General features: G+C 35.5%; 1 protein-coding gene across 2 annotated transcripts in view, besides 2 other annotated features; it reads left to right on the forward strand.

Moving 5' to 3' along the window:
* UTRN (utrophin) overlaps window positions 1–18,795 on the forward strand; it is a 567,700-nt gene that overhangs the window by 501,193 nt on the left and 47,712 nt on the right. For both annotated transcript variants that reach the window (NM_007124.3, NM_001375323.1), the window contains 4 exons: window positions 2,667–2,752; window positions 7,307–7,464; window positions 11,297–11,463; window positions 16,509–16,620. In NM_007124.3, the coding sequence (NP_009055.2) occupies window positions 2,667–2,752; window positions 7,307–7,464; window positions 11,297–11,463; window positions 16,509–16,620 (523 nt within the window). The remainder of the gene's footprint in view (window positions 1–2,666; window positions 2,753–7,306; window positions 7,465–11,296; window positions 11,464–16,508; window positions 16,621–18,795) is intronic.
* Window positions 285–786: an enhancer, noted in NCBI's record as "NANOG hESC enhancer chr6:145107948-145108449 (GRCh37/hg19 assembly coordinates)". NCBI's record gives its function as "activates a minimal SCP1, AML or CMV promoter by ChIP-STARR-seq in naive H9 embryonic stem cells {active_cell/tissue: H9 hESC(naive)}" and the evidence as "EXISTENCE:reporter gene assay evidence [ECO:0000049][PMID:30033119]".
* Window positions 7,186–7,480: a silencer, noted in NCBI's record as "tiled region #9645; HepG2 Repressive non-DNase unmatched - State 15:Elon". NCBI's record gives its function as "represses a minimal TATA promoter and a strong SV40 promoter by Sharpr-MPRA in HepG2 cells {active_cell/tissue: HepG2}" and the evidence as "EXISTENCE:reporter gene assay evidence [ECO:0000049][PMID:27701403]".

Genomic DNA, 18,795 nt, shown 5'->3' on the forward strand with positions numbered 1-18,795 from the left:
CCTGCCTCAGCCTCCCAAAGTGCTGAGATTACAGGCGTGAGCCACCGCGCCGGGCCTGAATGTGTCTTATCTCCGATGCTCACACCCCTGCCTCTGTGCCTTTGCTCAGGCTTTCTCTGTGATACTCTATGTTCTCCTACTTGGGACTGTCATGGCATGACATACCTTCTATGTCTGATTTTGGGTTTATCTTCTCTGTCACATGTTGTGAAACTAATGACTACCTAGACTAAATCACTAATGATAGGCAGCCACAATGATCTTGTACTTGATGTTTGATTTCCATACATAAAGGATTGTCTCATATGTTTTCTAGTTGTATTCCTATCTTACCTTCCTCAGCTAGTGTGTGAGTTCATCGGGGTAGGAATCATGTCTTCTGCTTTTCTCTTGGTCCCAACAGTACACAGAGCAATGTCAGGATCACAGTAAGCCTTTGTAACTGGTGATGGTGTGATGAATGGGTGATTGACAGCATCAGTTGTCTTCCTGATGATATTCCTTTCTTGTGTTGTGACAGTAAAGTGGGAGTCATGCTTTAATGCATATTATTTTGACCATTTTTCCCTGTAGGGATCACTTTATCCTTAGCCACATTCATGTACTTGTCTCAGCCCGTTCACAAAGCCTTCTGTTATCCTCTGCAAGTCTATTGTCTGACTGGGTCCAGAGAGTAAAAATTTCCTGCTTTTGAAAGGAAGCAAACATTGTCTGTTTCATGTGATAATTAGGAAACTTCTAAAAAATATAAAGTAGAAACACAGTTTGTAGCATGGCTGTCTGTAGGGTTAATGTGAAACTGGTGTTTCTGTAATTGTGAGAAATGATTATATTAATTTAGAAATTCTGCTTAGAAGGGCTATGTTTATTTTAATATTAAGTATTAGTCACTTCATAGGTTAATTCTGAATGTCATATACCTACATACTAAGGGTTCAGTAAGTTTATTAGATATGATTTAATATAAATTATAAACTCTATCCTATTGAGGGAGTACTTTGAAAATACATTGCACCAATCCCTAAGCACGATTTCCTTTCTTATTTATTGCATACTTTATATGTCATAATATGCGTACAGAAACTTCCTTCAGTACATATAGTTGAGAATGGAAGAATATCAATTAGTGTAAGTAGTAAAAATATCAATAAAATCAATGATTAAATATAGTTTGGCAAGAAGACTGCTTAAAATTAAAGTTACGTGATACAAATATTTATGTTTTTAAAATAGCACAAATTGTTAACTTTTATACATTCATATATTTATGTAAACTTTTAGTTATAGGTTTTAAGTGTGCTGTACTTGTGTATTAAAAACATATAAGAAAATGGACAATAAAAACCTAAAATGAAAATGGATCCTAAATGTGTAATAATAAAGATAGCAATAAAGGCTTTTTTTCTGGGCTATGTGTTATTCCATAGCAAGGATAATATCTTATTAATTTTTGTAATTATCTTCCAATCCCTAGGACTGGGACTACTGTGACTAACATTTGGTAGATTACTCAGTAATTCTTTGATAAGCAATGAAATTAAGAAAACTCTTTGGTTTTAAAGATAAAAAAACATGTTTCATCTGGTCGACTTATAAGTGAAATAGAAATGATCTATCCTTAGCATTGTGTAAAACTATGTTCTAATGTTGATTAATTAATACATTCTGGTTTTAATTATAATTTGATATTTCCCCAAATAGGGATTTCACATCTGTCTAAGATCACTGACTATTAAAATTGCAATAGTAATTTATAAAAACTGCATTGACAGAAAATTAACTATATACTGAGGGCTTATAATTTGCTGAATACTTAAATACCAATATTTATACTTAATTAATACTTAATTACCAATTAGTATTCAGCAAGTTGTAAGCTCTTAGTATATAGTTAATTTTCTAGTCTGTGTTCTTGTTTTTAGATATATCACTAGACTTTTCTTCCTGTATGAAGTCATATATATATATAGTGTGCGTAGCTCTAGCTGTTTTGAATCTTGCATCTACAATTATTAACGTATAGGTTTAATTCATAGTATTTTTTTTTTTTTTTTTGAGATGGAGTCTCGCTCTGTCACCCAGGCTGGAGTGCAATGGCACGATCTCGGCTCACTGCAATCTCCGCCTCGCAAGTTCAAGTGATTCTCCTGCCTCAGCCTCCCGAGTAGCTAGGATTATAGGCATGCGCCACCCGCCTGGCTAATTTTGTATTTTTAGTAGAGATGTGGTTTCTCCATGTTCGTCAGGCTGGTCTCGAACTCCTGACCTCAGGTGATCCGCCTGCCTTGGCCTCCCAAAGTGCTGGGATTACAGGCATGAGCCACTGTGCCCAGCCAATTCATAATATTTTTAAAGGTGAAATCTTTTCAGCTTTATAATCATCATTTTCATTTTGCTTTAGTTCGTTCTTCTTAGTTTATGTGTTGTGTGCAAAGTGGCTTCAAGCTGTGTGTTCTTCTAGCCTTGGCCAAACACCCTGTTAATATATGTCATGAAATTACAGTATTGGTTTAATATTAATTGTTAAAAGTTAATAGAAAAGTTGCATCTTTAAGATACAATTATTTTTGATGGTTTACCCCCAAGAAAATAGATATTCAGAAACAATGAACATGCTGTATATGGTTTTAAATGCATCTAACACATTAACATTCTTATAATTTTAGGGGTCGAACTGGAAAAATTAGAGTGCAGAGTCTGAAGATTGGATTAATGTCTCTCTCCAAAGGTCTCTTGGAAGAAAAATACAGATGTATGTAAGACCTTTCTTATACCAACAGTGTTTTTAGTAATAATAATGATTATAACAATTTATTGGAAACTTAAATTATATAATTTGTTAGTAGTAATAGTTCTCTCTCTTTTTTTAACCCTTACTGTGCCTATACCAAGTTAGACAGAGGGTGGCAGTGCAAAGACTTGGGGCTTTGTGTGAAATGGAAAGCTGATTATAACTAAGAGGTGAGGTGCCAGGATGGAGTGAGACCCAACTACAAATTATACTTCATTTAATTCTTAGAATAATCCCTCCATAATGTAGGCATTTGAGATTTTCATTTTCTAGCTGAGAAAATTAATGCTGAGATAGGTTAAGAATCTAGTCTAAGACTGCAGAGCTGATAAGGGATGGGGCTAGAATTAGATACTAGGTTTTTCTGACTCCAAAGCCTAAACTTTTTTTTATTTCTTTATACTTCCAATGCTTAAAAGAAAAAGATGAACTAGAACCTTTACAGTCATAGACGATAATCCTAAATAAATATATTTTACAGCTGTGACAAAATAAAACATGATTTTTAAATTTTTATTATATTTGGATTTATCAAATAAATCAACAGTGTTCCTTTACCTGTCAGTTAATGAAAGGTATATTGGCTTTGGAAAAGACTTGTGTTCAGGAGCCAAGGAGACCTGTCTTCAAATCTCTACCACTTAGTAGCTGAGTGTCTTTGGGCAGGTTATGTGATTTCATTGAATATTGCCAACTAAGAGGTAATAGTATTCCAATTTTACAGTTCAAGAAGCTGAAATTTAGCAAATTTTCTTCAACTGAAAAAATGAAGCTAATAATTCCTGCTTGGAGAATAATTAGGAGTAATGTTTAAGGTACCTAGAAATAGCAGTTGTTGAATAAATGGTAGCAGTTGCTGCTGAGTCCCCAAACCCTTAACTACTATCACATATCTTTTGATTTATTTTTGTCCATAAAATGTGAATTTGATCCCACCATGCATATTCCCAGATGATTCTTTACAGATAAATCCATACATTTGTGGGAGAGGTTTAGGGATATTCCATGAATGGAGAGATACTAAAAAACAATAGGATGTTTGATTATAGGCCCTGTAAACTGAGTTAAGTTTTGTGTCTTATGTCAACATGCATACATTTTAAAAGCTTTTATTTTCTGGGATTTCTGTGAGGTTATTGGATTTTGAATTTCAGGTCTAGACCATGATGGCTTGTTTTTTCTACATAGTTTGACAAGAATGTCAGTGAAAAGAAATGTGGATTTATATAAAATGAAAAGCTGATTGTAGGATTAGGAGATAAGGTGCTATGACGGAGTGAGAGCCTAGTTAGCCATGCAGAAGAAAGCTTTGCCCAAGACTTTTGCTTTGTGGCACTTTATCCAGAATTGAAGTAGTTTTTGGAATCATAATCATGAAAAGATATAATTTCAACAGCTGAAAACGTTATCTTTTTATAATGATCAGGAAAGGAAAATGTTAATGAAAACACCAATGTTACAAAATTAGAAATGGATTTTTTATCATCTCTGATTTGGGGTTTCTTGTGCTTCTGAAACAATTAGGGTTCTCTGAAAGTAACAGTTATAGTGTGGAGCTTACTCTGAAATATTTGCAAATTCAACCTCAAAGCTTACATTGTGGATAATTCAACATTAACTTTCAGATTTTGGCAGGGGAAGCAGAAGGCTCTGCCGTGAAATTTCTGATATTTAATTGAATCCAGGAAGTATGCCATTTTAGAACTAATTAAATATGAAATCTCTTGGGTTTTAATCTTTAATCTAAATCTTTACTGGGATATCTAGACTTTGGAATGTCCTGGGGTTTTATTTTGCTTTTTACTTTGAGGACCTTCACCACTCTGATTCCAGTTTCTGTGATATCATTATTGTTTCCTTTATTAGAATTAATATTCAAGACAGTTTGCTCTTCAAATGCAATGGCAGGGCCGCCATTCAAGATCATTGGTATCTGTCTGAACATTGATTTTATTAATACAATGCCCAATGTCAGTGTCTTCACCCCATAACACCTTCTTCTCTTGGTCCTTTCCTAAGAATATTCCTTGTTTAGTTTCTAACAGTGCCCTGGCCTTTATGCTTATAGCTGGCTAGCTTCCTTGCCTCATCAAAAACACATTTACAGACCAGGCACAGTGGTTCATGCCTGTAGTCCTAGCTACTTGGGAGACTAAGGTGGGAGGATCACTTGAGCCCCAGGAATCGGAGGCTGCAATGAGCCATGGTCGGACCACCACACTTCCAGCCTGGATGACAAAGCGAGACCTTAAAAAAAAAAAAAAAGTACACATTTTCAAACCATCCTTTTAAATTATCATTAGTATCTCTTCTGTGCTTATTTATTAGAATTTGAGTTTTTAGATTATGACTTTCTTATTACCTGCCCCTTTACCCTGACACTGCTTTTTGTATCTTACTATAATGTTGAGAATGTGAACTTTTGTAGGAACTTTTATAAGGATTTATAGAAATATGTCAAAATGTCTAAGGACACTTTTGTCCTTATGTTTTGTGAGTAGTTTTACTTTAATAGTGGCATAGTGGTATAGCCATATGCCTCAAAAGAGGAAAGTTGGGCATAGTTGATCTTGCTGAAAATGTGCACTTTTCTGCAAAGATTATTATACATATGCATCAACTTTTATTTACTTAACAGACCTCTTCCCAGGGACTGGTTTAAAATAAACATCATGCTAAGACTACTGGATAAATATTTTTGTCTATGATAGTCTTATTGTTTTTAATGGAAAGAAATAAGTAGAGCTCTAACCAAATCTAAGTGAAAAAATTATAATAAAAATCAAATTTATCTTCATTGAATTTGCTTTCCCTATGTATGCTTATAATTAAAGCCATACTTCATTATAATTACTGTGTCAATATCACTGAGCTTGGTTCAGTTTGAAATTTCACCACTGACAGTGTTAGATCTAGCATTATATTCCTTATAAAAAGAGAGAATGGACCAGGCACGGTGGCTCACACCTGTAATCCCCAGCACTTTGGGAGGCCGATGTAGGGCAGATCAACTGTGATCGGGAGTTCGAGACTAGCCTGACCAACATGGAGAAACCCTGTCTCTACTAAAAATACAAAATTAGCTGGGTGTGGTGGTGCATGCCTGTAATCCCAGCTACTCAGGAGGCTGAGGCAGGAGAATTGCTTGAACCCGGTAGGTGGAGGTTGCAGCGAGCCAAGATCGTGCCATTGCACTCCAGCCTGGGCAACAAGAGCAACACTCCATCTCAAAAAAAAAAAGAGAGAGAGAAAATGATGCATTTTGATCTGATATCAGGTACTGTTTGAAAATAGTTTTAGAATCCAATAAATATTTACTCCACTTTCTTCTATTCTTGGAAAATGTCACATGAAGAGCATTTAGATTTTAAGTACTTTTGAATTTTTAGAACTTGAAAATTTATTTCCAAAAAGTATTAATTTCTATAATGAAGTAGATTGTTTGTATTTGAAATTTCTTCCTCTTCCAAAAGTAACTTATCTTAGGATATTAGCTTTATTGTTGAAAATAATATATAATTTTGATCTTCAAAGTATTGTATATGGTGAATAAAAGGTAAACCAAGAGTGGACAAAATAGAAGAGTTTTAATTTTACTGAATTAAGAAAATTATAAAACAAATCAGTTTTTTAATGAATGGAAAAACCTAAAAACTGTATGAAAATATGCACAAATTTTTAAATTTGATTAAATGTATTTCATTACATGAAGTAAAACAAAAATAGTGGTTATAGCTAATAAGGAATGGGAGACTGGCCCAAAGGAGAAAAAACACACCTTCTTGTACTTTTTAGTGTTTCTTATATAAAATAGATGTGAGTATAAAAGTCTTTAAAATAAGTTATAATATATATACATTTAGTAGAATATTGAATTTAGGAGTGAACACACAAAGTTTGTAAACAAATCTGTTAAAATTTAAAGGTTTGTTATTTAAGGTACGTTTATTCCTTTGTGTTTTTTTATTTTTTTTTGAGTTGGGGTCTTGCTATGTTGCCCAAACTGGTCTCAAACTCCTGGCTCAAGTGATCCTCCTGCCTTAGTCTCTCCAGTAGATGAGATTACAGGCATGCACCACAGCACCCAACTACATCTATTCCTTTGACAAGTCATGAAGGAAGCTTTGTTTTGGCTCATTCTTTCTCAATAAGAAGGGGAGTTCTTATGAAGATCATAAAATTAATTCATATGCATTTATTGTATCATTTTAAAAAGGAAATTTGCATTTATTGATTTATATTATATATGCATGATTTATGTTTATATGTATACATAACCCATTCTTGCAGGAACGGGTTAACTACATGCTTCTTAAAATAATCTAATATCATATGTAATGCAGAATATTAAGATCAGAATATTAAGGTCATTGGAATTCAGGAGACAACGAATCAGATTCATGTCCTTCTGAAATTTTTTTAATCTGCATGGTTCAGTCCACATTACCAAAGATATATTTTAAGTAAAAGAACATGGTAGACAGATGAAAGTTAACCTCTTGCCTCTCTTTGCAGATCTCTTTAAGGAAGTTGCAGGGCCAACAGAAATGTGTGACCAGAGGCAGCTGGGCCTGTTACTTCATGATGCCATCCAGATCCCCCGGCAGCTAGGTGAAGTAGCAGCTTTTGGAGGCAGTAATATTGAGCCTAGTGTTCGCAGCTGCTTCCAACAGGTAAGCATGAAGGATCACTGGTGTGTAGGATGTGTTGGCGAAGGGTTTTGAGGATGTTCTGAGACATGGAATAGGGAACTCGGGCTGGAGCCAAATACTGGAAGACTTTGGGTACCATCCAACAAGTGGTGTATTTTATTTCCTAAGGCTCATTTGCTTCAAAAAATAGCAACCCTTGCAAAGAGACTTGCTGTTTTTCTTTGATAAAATCTACAATCTTTAACCTGTGCCATTAGATTGCTGTTTGTCCTGCCCTTTTCCTGGCCTCATCTCCTACCATTCCTCTCCTTGCTCTCCGCTTTCCAGCTGCACTGTTTTATTTCCTTGATTCCTGCCTCAGCAGTGCCTTTGGACCTGTGTCTGCTGTTTAGACGTTCTTCCTTCCCCATTGCCCACTACCTCCCTTCTCATACCTAATCTTTATTTGATCTTTAGATTTTAGCTTTAGCTATTACATCCTCTGAAAATCTTTCTCTGACCTCTTCAGATAATGCTGTATTTTCCTATTATATTCACCTAATATCGTCCACCTCTTCCTTCTCATACTCAGTGCAATTATAATTACACACTGAATTATATAATTCATGGCTTAGTGTTTGTTTCTTCTCTAGGAACCTAAGCTCCATGAAGACAAGGACTACGGCTATCATTTTACTGTTGTATCCTGTCTTAGTTCATTCAGGCTGCTGTAACAAAATACCATAAACTGGATGGCTTTTAAACAACAGAAATTTATTTTCTACAGTTCTGGAGGCTGTCCATGATCAAGGTGCTAGCAGATTCAGTATCTGCTGAGGGCCCACCTTCTGGTTCATTGCAACCTTTCTTGCTGTTTCCTCATATGACAGAAGAAGTGAATGATCTCTCTTGGGCCTCTTTTTTTGTTTGTTTGTTTTGTACTTTAAGTTCTGGGGTACATGTGCAGAACGTGCAGGTTTGTTACATAGGTATACATGTGCCATGGTGGTTTGCTGCACCCATCAACCCATCATCTACATTAGGTGTTTCCCCTAATGCTATCCCTCCCCTAGTCCCCCACCCACTGACAGGCCCCAGTGTGTGATGTTCCCCTCCCTGTGTCCATGTGTTCTCATTGTTCAACTCTCACTTATGAGTGAGAACATGTGGTGTTTGGTTTTCTATTCTTGTGTTAGTTTGCTGAGAATGATGGTTTCCAGCTTCATCCATTTCCCTGCAAGGGACATGGACTCATCCTTTTTTATGGCTACATAGTATTCCATGGTGTATTTGTGCCACATTTTGTTTATCCAGTGTATCATTGATGGGCATTTGGGTTGGTTCCAACTCTTTGCTATTGTGAATAGTGCCTCAGTAAACATACGTGCGCATGTGTCTTTATAGTAGAATGATTTATAATCCTTTGGGTATATACCTAGTAATGGGATTTCTGGGTCAAATGGTATTTCTGGTTCTATATCCTTGAGGAATTGCCACGCTGTCTTCCACAATGGCTGAACTAATTTACACTCCCACCAACAGTGTAAAAGCATTCCTATTTCTCCACATCCTCTCCAGCATCTGGTGTTTCCTGACTTTTTAATGATCACCATTCTAACTGGTGTGAGATGGTATCTCATTGTGGTTTTGATTTGCATTTCTCTAATGACCAGTGATGATGAGCTTTTTTTCTATGTTTGTTGGCTGCATAAATGTCTTCTTTTGTGAAGTGTCTGTTCATATCCTTTGCCCACTTTTTGATGGGGTTGTTTATTTTTTTCTTGTAAATTTGTTTAAGTTCTCTGTAGATTCTGGATATTAGCCCTTTGTCAGATGGATAGATTGCAAAAATTTTCTCCCATTTTGTAGGTTGCCTGTTCACTCTGATGATAGGTGTTTTTTGTTGTTGTTTTGTTTTTGTTTGTTTTTTGTTTGTTTGTTTGCTGTGCAGAAGCTCTTTAGTTTAATTAGATCCCATTTGTCAATTTTGCCTTTTGTTGCCATTGCTTTTGGTGTTTTAGTCATGAAGTCTTTGCCCATGACTATGTCCTGAATGGTATTGCCTAGGTTTTCATCTAGGATTTTTATGGTTTTAGGTCTTACATTTAAGTCTTTAATCCATCTTGAGTTAATTTTTGTGTGAGGTGTAAGGAAGGGGTTAAGTTTCAGTTTTCTGCATATGGCTAGCCAGTTTTCCCAACACCATTTATTAAATAGGGAATTCTTTACCCATTGCGTGTTTTTGTCAGGTTTGTCAAAGATCAGATGGTTGTAGATGTGTGGCATTATTTCTGAGATCTTGGGCCTCTTTTATAAGGGCACTAACCTCATTCAAGAGGGCTCCACCCTCATGACCTAATCATTTCCTAAAGGCTCTACCTCCTCGTACCATCTCCTAAGTGGTTAGGTTTTTAACATATGAGTTTTGGGGGACAAAAATATTCAGATTATTACATTTCCTGTGCCTTGAACATCATAACTACTTTAATAAATATCTGCTAAAGAACTGAATTAAAATGTCCTGAGTTCTTTTTAAGACAAGATTTTTAAAATATATATACATTAAAGATGTTATTAAAGTATCAGTTTTTTTTCTTTGAGACTATGCATACAAAAGAAAGATGTACGAAGTTTTATACTGATCTAAGTTACTAATTTGAAACTGAGAAAGCACTTTCATTTCTTTTTAATGTTTACTGCATATAAAGACATTTTAGAAATGTTACTACTGATGTTATACATATGCATAAAGTACAAGTCTACAGATATTTTGGCAAAGCATATCCAGTGATTTATCATTGCTAGGGAAAAAAAAGGCTCACACCGTGTCTTTGAGGAGAATTGATGTCATGGGTTATTACATTTTATAATGGCCCTTTTTCTTATTTTAGAAATACAAAAAATATCAAATGCAAATTCTAAATATGATTTATAGTCATACATGTAGGTTCACAGAATGACCTCAACAGCAACAGGAGGATAAAATTGGTAGATATTTAGCTTTGCACATAGGAAAATTACTTAGTATTGGGAATTGAAGAGGGATTGGGGAGTTTTATGTAATTTATCCTGATAAATTCTGCAAAGTACATCCATAGCAATATGCTTTCTGTGTGATGATATAATGGGACTAGAGCAGGACACACAAAAATGACAGCTTTTATTTAGCATTTATAATGGCCTTCAAGTTTGTAAAATTATCGGTGAGTCTTTCACAAGTTTTTACTGTCTTAGATGAAATTTTTTTTTTTTTTTTTGAGATATATTCTTGCTCTGTTGCCCAGGCTGGAGTGCAGTGGCGTGATCTCGGCTCACTGCAACCTCCGCCTCCCAGGTTCAAGCGATTCTCCTGCCTCAGCCTCCCGAGTAGCTGGGACTACAGGTGCACGCCACAAGGCCCAGCTAATTTTGTGTGTGTGTGTTTTAGTAGAGACGGGGTTTCACCGTGTTGCCTAGGCTGGTCTCAAACTCCTGAGCTCAGGCAATCCGCTTGCCTCGGCCTCCCAAAGTGCTAGGATTACAGGCTTGAGCCACCACACCCGGCCAAATGAGTTTTACAGAATTATTTATGTAAAAAGATGACTTTAAATTGAGTGGTTTGGGTTTTTGCTTTTGTTTCTTTCAAAATCTGAGTATATTGAAGTCTTGGTATTTTTTTGCTTCTTCCTATGTGACAATTTCTGCTTTTTCTACTCATAAGTTCTAGAATTTTCTTGACTTGAAGAACCTTAAAGCATTGTGACTTAACTGACATGGAAAGAGTTATATAGTTTCCTCTTCTGCACAAATTTTCAGAAGATTATGAAGCAACAACACTAGCTACAGTTTAAATGAAGGCATTTCTTCACTTTTAATATATTTCTTTTTTCACCAGAATAACAATAAACCAGAAATAAGTGTGAAAGAGTTTATAGATTGGATGCATTTGGAACCACAGTCCATGGTTTGGCTCCCAGTTTTACATCGAGTGGCAGCAGCGGAGACTGCAAAACATCAGGCCAAATGCAACATCTGTAAAGAATGTCCAATTGTCGGGTTCAGGTAAGGCGTGCCAGTGCTGGAGGAGGCTATTTTCTGTTTCCTTTGTGTAATCTCAGTGGTACGTCCATCCTCCATTCCCATTCATTCCCATTTGGAGGTTTGCTTTCTAAATAAATGGTATGTTCAGTATGTCTCATCTATCTAAAAGTAGCATTTCTTTTTATAACTACTACATGAAGCATATTTTATTATTGTTGCTATTATTATTGTCATTTACACTACTTGGATCAGAACCAGAGATTTTTATGAATGTCTGTTTACTTAGGTCACAGAAATGATTCATCCATGAAAACTGTATGGCTGATTATAAATATATAACCCTGATGGAATTTGGTAAATATTCTGAGGTCTTGGGGTCAAACTTAGTAAGCAGGAAGCAATGTTTAATTACCAGCTGAGAAGTAATCAAATTACTTTGTGTTATTTCTGCCAAGTTTGATGTGAAGTACATTAACCCGACTTCTTCCCATGAGGAGCACTGCTAAATGCCATACTTTAATGTAATCAGTGTGTCAGACTCTTCAGTTTGTGACCCCAAAGCCGACAGTGCAGAGTCTGTGGTTTGTCCTAAGGTGGACATTTTTGGACATCCTGATCCACTCCTCTTAACATAGGTATGCATTTGACCTCTTGAATATATTATATTTCTCTACTGGGGGGAATCTGGAAAATAGCCCCAGTTTAATTTGGAAATCTATTATGAAACAACATAAGCCTACTCAGTAGGGAAATTCAAGATTTTGTGTGTGTCTTTTTTTATTTATTTTTTGAGACCAAGTCCCACTCTGTCACCCAAGCTGGTGTGCAGTGGCACGATCTTGGTTCACTTCAACCTCTGCCTCCCAAGTTCACGCGATTCCCCTGCCTCGGCCTCCCGAGTAGCTGGGACTACAGGTGCATGCCACCACACCCAGCTAATTTTTGTATTTTTAGTAGAGACTGGGTTCCACTATGTTGGCCAGGCTGGTCTCAAACTCCCGACCATGTGATCTGTCCTCCTTGGCCTCCCAAAGTGCTGGGATTACAGGCGTGAGCCGCCATACCTGGCCCTATGTGTATCTTTTATTCGTACCAGAAGATCAAGTACCAATACGGTGATTCTCTGAGGGAGAGTCAAATCAGGAGGGCTGGGATTGGTTGTTGTTGTATATTGTATCAGTATTAGTATCTTGAATTAAACAGAATTGTTTTCATTTGACTGACTTTATCAGCATAATAGTTTGTACGAAGCATATCATTGCATTCTCTGTGGATGGCTAACATAAGAAATGAAAATTCAAAAGTTCTCTTCTCTCATGCATTATGGTGTAGTTGGGAAGACTAAAGTATTGTGAGGTCAGAGGGCCTTGCTGCTATGCATTCTAAGAGGAGGAAAAGACAGGTAGGTAGTGTGAAGTAGAGTGAGCATTAGCCTGGCAGACAGCTAGGGTAATAGATGACTTCCAGTGGAAGTCAAAGCACAAATGTTGGAAGAAGAAGAATGGTAAAGTCACAGTTTAAATGCAGCAGGGTTCTTGGAATGGCTACATTTGGAGTATCTGGTAGACATAGATGTATGGGAGAGGGAATAGCTGGAATGTGGCAAGGTCAGTCTACTACTGGGAAGATAATTCAAATGAGAGATGTAGTCATCAAAGCTAATAATCACTGCTATTTATTGTTTACTTTATGCCAGACAATGTGCTAAGAGGTGTTATATTTGTTATTTTAGTCACTTTTCTTAATAACTCTGTAAGATTGGGAGTATTACCTCTACTTTACACATAAAGGAACTAAGACTCCAAGATTAGTCAACTTGCCCAAGGCCAGGCAGCCGATTGTGCAGAGACAAAGTTAGGATTCAAATCCAGAACCCTTTGGTTTTCCAGTTTGTGTTCTTAATCAAGATGGTTTTAAAAAGCAGATTAGATTTTTAGGAGAGAGAGATTTAATATTAAGAAGTAATTAAATGGTATTGAAAAGAGCAATTGATTTAAAGCACTAATTATTAGACCAAAAATATTACTCTGGATATAAACGGTAATGTGAAGCCATGGGAAAGATCCAGATTAATTGACTTGGGAAGAGACTGCCATATATAGATATATATAAAATCTGCCATATATGGCCATTGGTATAACCTAGAGATGCCATGAGGGACCATGTTTCTCAGCATCTGATGGATGTAGAGAGTGAAGGAGAGGATAAAATACTCTAAAAACATTAAATATTTGAATGACCTTTAAAGTTTCATTTCTTAAATTAAAAATGACCTGAAGCAACTATGTAGAATATTAAGATTTAACTGAGTTGTGGGACATGGATGTTTATTATATTCTCCCTACTTTTGAATTAACTTGAAATATTTAATAAGAAAAATATGAAAGAGCAATTATAAAGGGTGAACAACCTGAAGTGTTAAATTTCAAGGGTTTAAGTTTCTGCTAGTACTATCAAATTGACCTGTAAATGTCTCTATGATAGAGATGTGAAGTTGACCAGCAGGTCAGAGATTAAGGTTATGGGAGGATATTCAGGAGATAGTGTATTGAGAAGTAGCTCTGGAGTCAGGCTACTTGGATTTCAATCCTGGATCTATTGTTTGGTGCTGAGACTTTGAATAAGATACTTGGCCTGCTTGAACCTGAGTTTCTTCAACTTCAAATTCTATGAGTGTTTCCTCATAGGAATAGTTAATACATGAAAGTATCTAGGGCAGTTCCTATCACAGAGTAGGCATTCAGTAAATGTTGGCTCTTTTTGTTACTACCAATAACATCATTAGTGTGATAGTAGCTAAACCTATGAGTGTGTTGTTGAACATTTCCATTAAGTGGAAATGCCAGAAAAACCTGGACAATGATGTTGCTCAGTAAAAGGCAAGATTAGAGAGAGGTATAATAAGGGACAGAACAGGATTCTTCAGAGAAATAAAGACGCATAGTGTGCTTTAGCAAGATGGTAGAGGTGTTAAGTGCATCAGAAAGATTCTTTGAATCAGAAGTCATTGGGAATCTTAGAGAGGATTCTATCCGTGTCGTTATAAAGATGGCTCAGGAAAATACATAGGCGAATATGTGCAAACAACTTGTTTAAGAAATCTAGCTATAACTTAAAATATGTCAGGATATTGAAAATTGGAAGATGGTAAGTGATATATTGTCTTACTTTTACTTGCATTTATATTTTTCCTGTTTTCTACATTGAGAATATAGTACATCTAAAATTTGTATTTCGAATGAGAGAGAAATATGTCCAGACTTGATACCTGGTTTAGGCACAAGAGTGAGCAAGCAAAGGTTTCTTCAAGCTAATGGTGACTTAATTATTGCACAAAGATTACACATGAAGGGAATGAATATAAGAACAATTCCAATAGTAAAATGGGGTCCAGTTGGAATAGGTCTGATTAGTTTAGTTGTAAAGAGATGCATCTTTCTCTGTGGCTTCAGAGAATGAATGGAAAGACAAGTACAGAAATAAAGATAGAGGAATATGTCTATTATAGAATAATCTTAACTTCATTCAGACTGTCTTTCTATCAAGCTTCTACCCAAGATATATATATATATATTTCATTTTCCCCGAACTTTTATAAATACTGCTAGAGTTTTTCACTAATTACTTCCAAATAAAATGTTAATGAAATCTTAGATTTACATAATGTTTTGTAAGCTGGGAATTGTTTCAGTTAGAATCATACACAATTCCTTAATAGTAGTTGCATAAATAAATTAGAACTTTAGTTTTCTTTCTTGTAAACAGAGTGAAGGTAGGTAATCCAAGACTGTTCTCTGTGACCACCTGGGCCCTTAGCTCTGTTTTCATGCACTGTCATCCCTAACATGTGGCTTCCATCTTCAAAGTCACTTCATGCTAACAAAGTGACTCTTCTGGATGTCAGATCCATTTTCCAGTGGGGAGGAAGAGGCAGCATGCCTCTTCCCAGCTAACTCAGTCCCTTGAAATTCCAATTAGAACCCCCACCCAATAACTTTGGTTTTTATTGCACTGGTCACCAACATCAGCAAGAGAGGCTAAGAAACAGTAATTTTCTCAAGGCTCATTGCTAAAATGTGCTAACAGTACAAGGGTATGTTACCAATGAAAAAGAGAGAATGGCTATCTGCCAAGGGAGTATTCAGCAGAAAACAAAATTTCATTTAGAAAGAAGATGTCAGTCATACCTGTCAAGCCATGCTGATAAGCCAAGAGATGTCGTTAGTGTATGTGATTGTTTCAAACCAATAGCCTCCTTGGCAAAAGTAAGCTGGCTGTAGTATATGCAGAATGATTTCCTTAAGATTGATTTGCAAGTGATTTTTCAGGTCATTTTAGAAGCTACTCAGTACTTAGTAGTTTACAGCCACACAACTTTTAAATTTTGCTTCCATTTTCATTCTGTTGGTTCTATCATTTAATTTTTTTTCTGTAGATGTGGGTATAATTTATGTTCTTAGTTCTACCAGCAATTCTGACAGAACAGATTTCGGAGAAGATGTTTTCCACTCAGACCCATAGAAACTTATCGTCTAAGGTTTTGCTTTTGTAAATAAGATTCTGCAAGTACAAGTCAATGTGCAGTGTCATTCTTACGCCAGAGATTTTAAAACACCATTTCCATTCAAGGATGCATTGTGATCAAGGCTTTATTTAGTTTTTCCTTTGTTACACAGTATTTCTTGATTTCTTTTTTTTCTAGTGACTAATTTAAACCAAATATAAAAGTGCTCATTGTTGAAAACTGTATCTTTGTGAGGGAATTTTAAAATTCATTTCTTATTGGTGGTATAATTGATATTTTAAAATTTGATGTTTCAACTTAATAGATATAATTCTTTTCTTGCCTATCATTTTCCATTCGTATTCAAACATTAAAAGAAATCTTCTGACATGCATATTTGTCTCCCTCTCATGTATAAACAGATAGAAGCATGTTTCAGAGACTTGAACTCCAAAATTTTATATTTTATTTTTTGGTAATTCGGATGAATGAAATTTCTTACCACAAATTTAGACTAAATGATAGTAATGCAAGCCAATAAATTTTCTTTTGTTTTCTCTAGGTATAGAAGCCTTAAGCATTTTAACTATGATGTCTGCCAGAGTTGTTTCTTTTCGGGTCGAACAGCAAAAGGTCACAAATTACATTACCCAATGGTGGAATATTGTATACCTGTGAGTACTAACCCACTGTTTTGTTTTTAATACATTGCCATTGAATTAACTAGTATCTAAAATTTTATTATTTATTTAGACTTAATCTTTTTTGAAAAAATATCACTTTGAAGATTTTTTTTTTCTTTTAAGTAAACTCATTTATGTTGAATTAATTAGTGCAGAAAAAAATATTAACTTTTTTAAATATCTGTGTTTTGATTTTAAACTTTTTTGGTAGCAAATTCTTTTAAGAGCTGATACTGACCTACACTGAAAATGATACTATGTAACGAAAAATCATGTTTCTTTTAGACATATTTATGCTTTCATAGTTAAATACCATATTCATATTAGCAAAATACAGAAAATGGAGATATTAAAAATATAGTTCCTAACTCTAGCTCCTGAATAAACTACCTTCTAATTTTTCCATATCTCTGGTTTTAAGATTCTATTTATATTTATATTTATGTATCTTTTTCCCTGATATTTTTCACTCGACATTCCATTTCGTCACACAGTGTAATTTTTTTTAGTCACAAAATTTTTAATTGAGTGAATTACTACAGTTTACCTAACCATTCCCTGAAATTTGGACATATAGTTTATTTTCAATTTTCTGATGTTATAAATAACACTCTTACAAGTATCTTTGTGAGGGTAGCTCATTCCAGATATTATGTAAACTACATTGCAATAGAATAAAGCACTATAAGTAGGTTATTTCAGTCAATGAATATGGGTATTTTTTATGGTCAAAATACTTGATGTCAACGTTTTTTTCAAAATAGGTTTATCCCAATTTACATTATTATCACACTTTGTTAAAGTTTCAATTTTACTAAGCCCCACCAGTATTGGACATAAGTTCTTGTTTTTCCTTTGATTTACAGCTATTTTTTCCTGAAGTTATCCTCATGTTCTATTAATAGCTATTCTTTTACTTCCTTCCAAATAATGCCCAAATGTATTCATCAAGCTGTCTATTTTCTTTGGTTTAGGGAATTGAGTTACTTTTTTGGATCATAAATTGACAGAAAGGCTGTAATACTTATAAAATATACACATATAAATCTCACACTCATAGGTATCTTATCTCAAATAAATAAGTGCCCTGTGTATGGAGAGGAAATCTGTAGAAAATATTGCTGAATTATAATGGAGGAAGTGCCCACATCACATTATAGCTTTAACCAGGAAAAAGAAATCTCCCCAAGAAAATTTGTGAGACATCATTTATTACTATTATCAACTTATTCACTCAACAAATTAATATTGAACATTTTGCAGGTGTCAGGCCCTCTTGTCAAAGATAAGCAAAACCAGACACTAGTTAAAGTGGTAAGGACAGATTTTAATCAATAATATACTGATTATGCACATGTATTTCTGTTTGTACAGAGGTGACTGGGTGTTTTCAGAAGGGAATAGACTGGGGAAACAAAAGAGGGACTTGAGCAGAGGCAAGGAAGTGAAAAATGACAAAGCATTGGTCAGCATCAGTTCCATCAGACCAGCTGTGTCTGTGAGCTGGCAATTGTCAGAGTTAGGATTCTACCATTCCAGAGAGAGACTGGGAGACAGGGGTCCTATCCTTCCTGATGATTACATTTCAAAGAAATGGTTTTCAGATCCTTGAGAAAGACACTCCTGAGTTGTTGGAGATACATCCACATCTCAAAGGGACAGAGGAAGGATTCCCCATTGTAAACCCTTTCCAGTAAATGCCCTAAGAAAGAGTGAGCAGGGACCTGTCTTCAGGTGTTGGCTAGAGTGAACAGTAAATTCTTTTGGCAGTCTGGAGTTTGTTTTTCAGGCAGACGCTTTAAGGGGTCAGACGCCTTAATAATCCCTTTTTTAAGGGTCATCCTAGGGATGTGGTCTTGAACTGTTATAAATTATGTTCATGTTTGTTTAAGTCTTTTAATGGAGAAGTGGGTGGACAGGGATGGACAAAATGATTTGTGCTGAAAATTTGCAGCTTTTATAGGCCAAGGCTTCAGTAGACAACAGAGCTTACAGGAGGCCAACTCAAATTTGGTCAAGGAGAGAATCCTTGTCAGTAATTTCAGCTCTGATAGTGTATCAGAGTATACCCAGAAAGATAAGATTGTGGACTTCCTGCTACTCTCCCTTTAGGAGGAAGAATGTGTGAGAATGAACAAGGAAACGAATAAATGGGGTTGTTATACA

This window comes from Homo sapiens, chromosome 6 (genome assembly GCF_000001405.40).
Source record: "Homo sapiens chromosome 6, GRCh38.p14 Primary Assembly".
Taxonomy (NCBI): domain Eukaryota; kingdom Metazoa; phylum Chordata; class Mammalia; order Primates; family Hominidae; genus Homo; species Homo sapiens.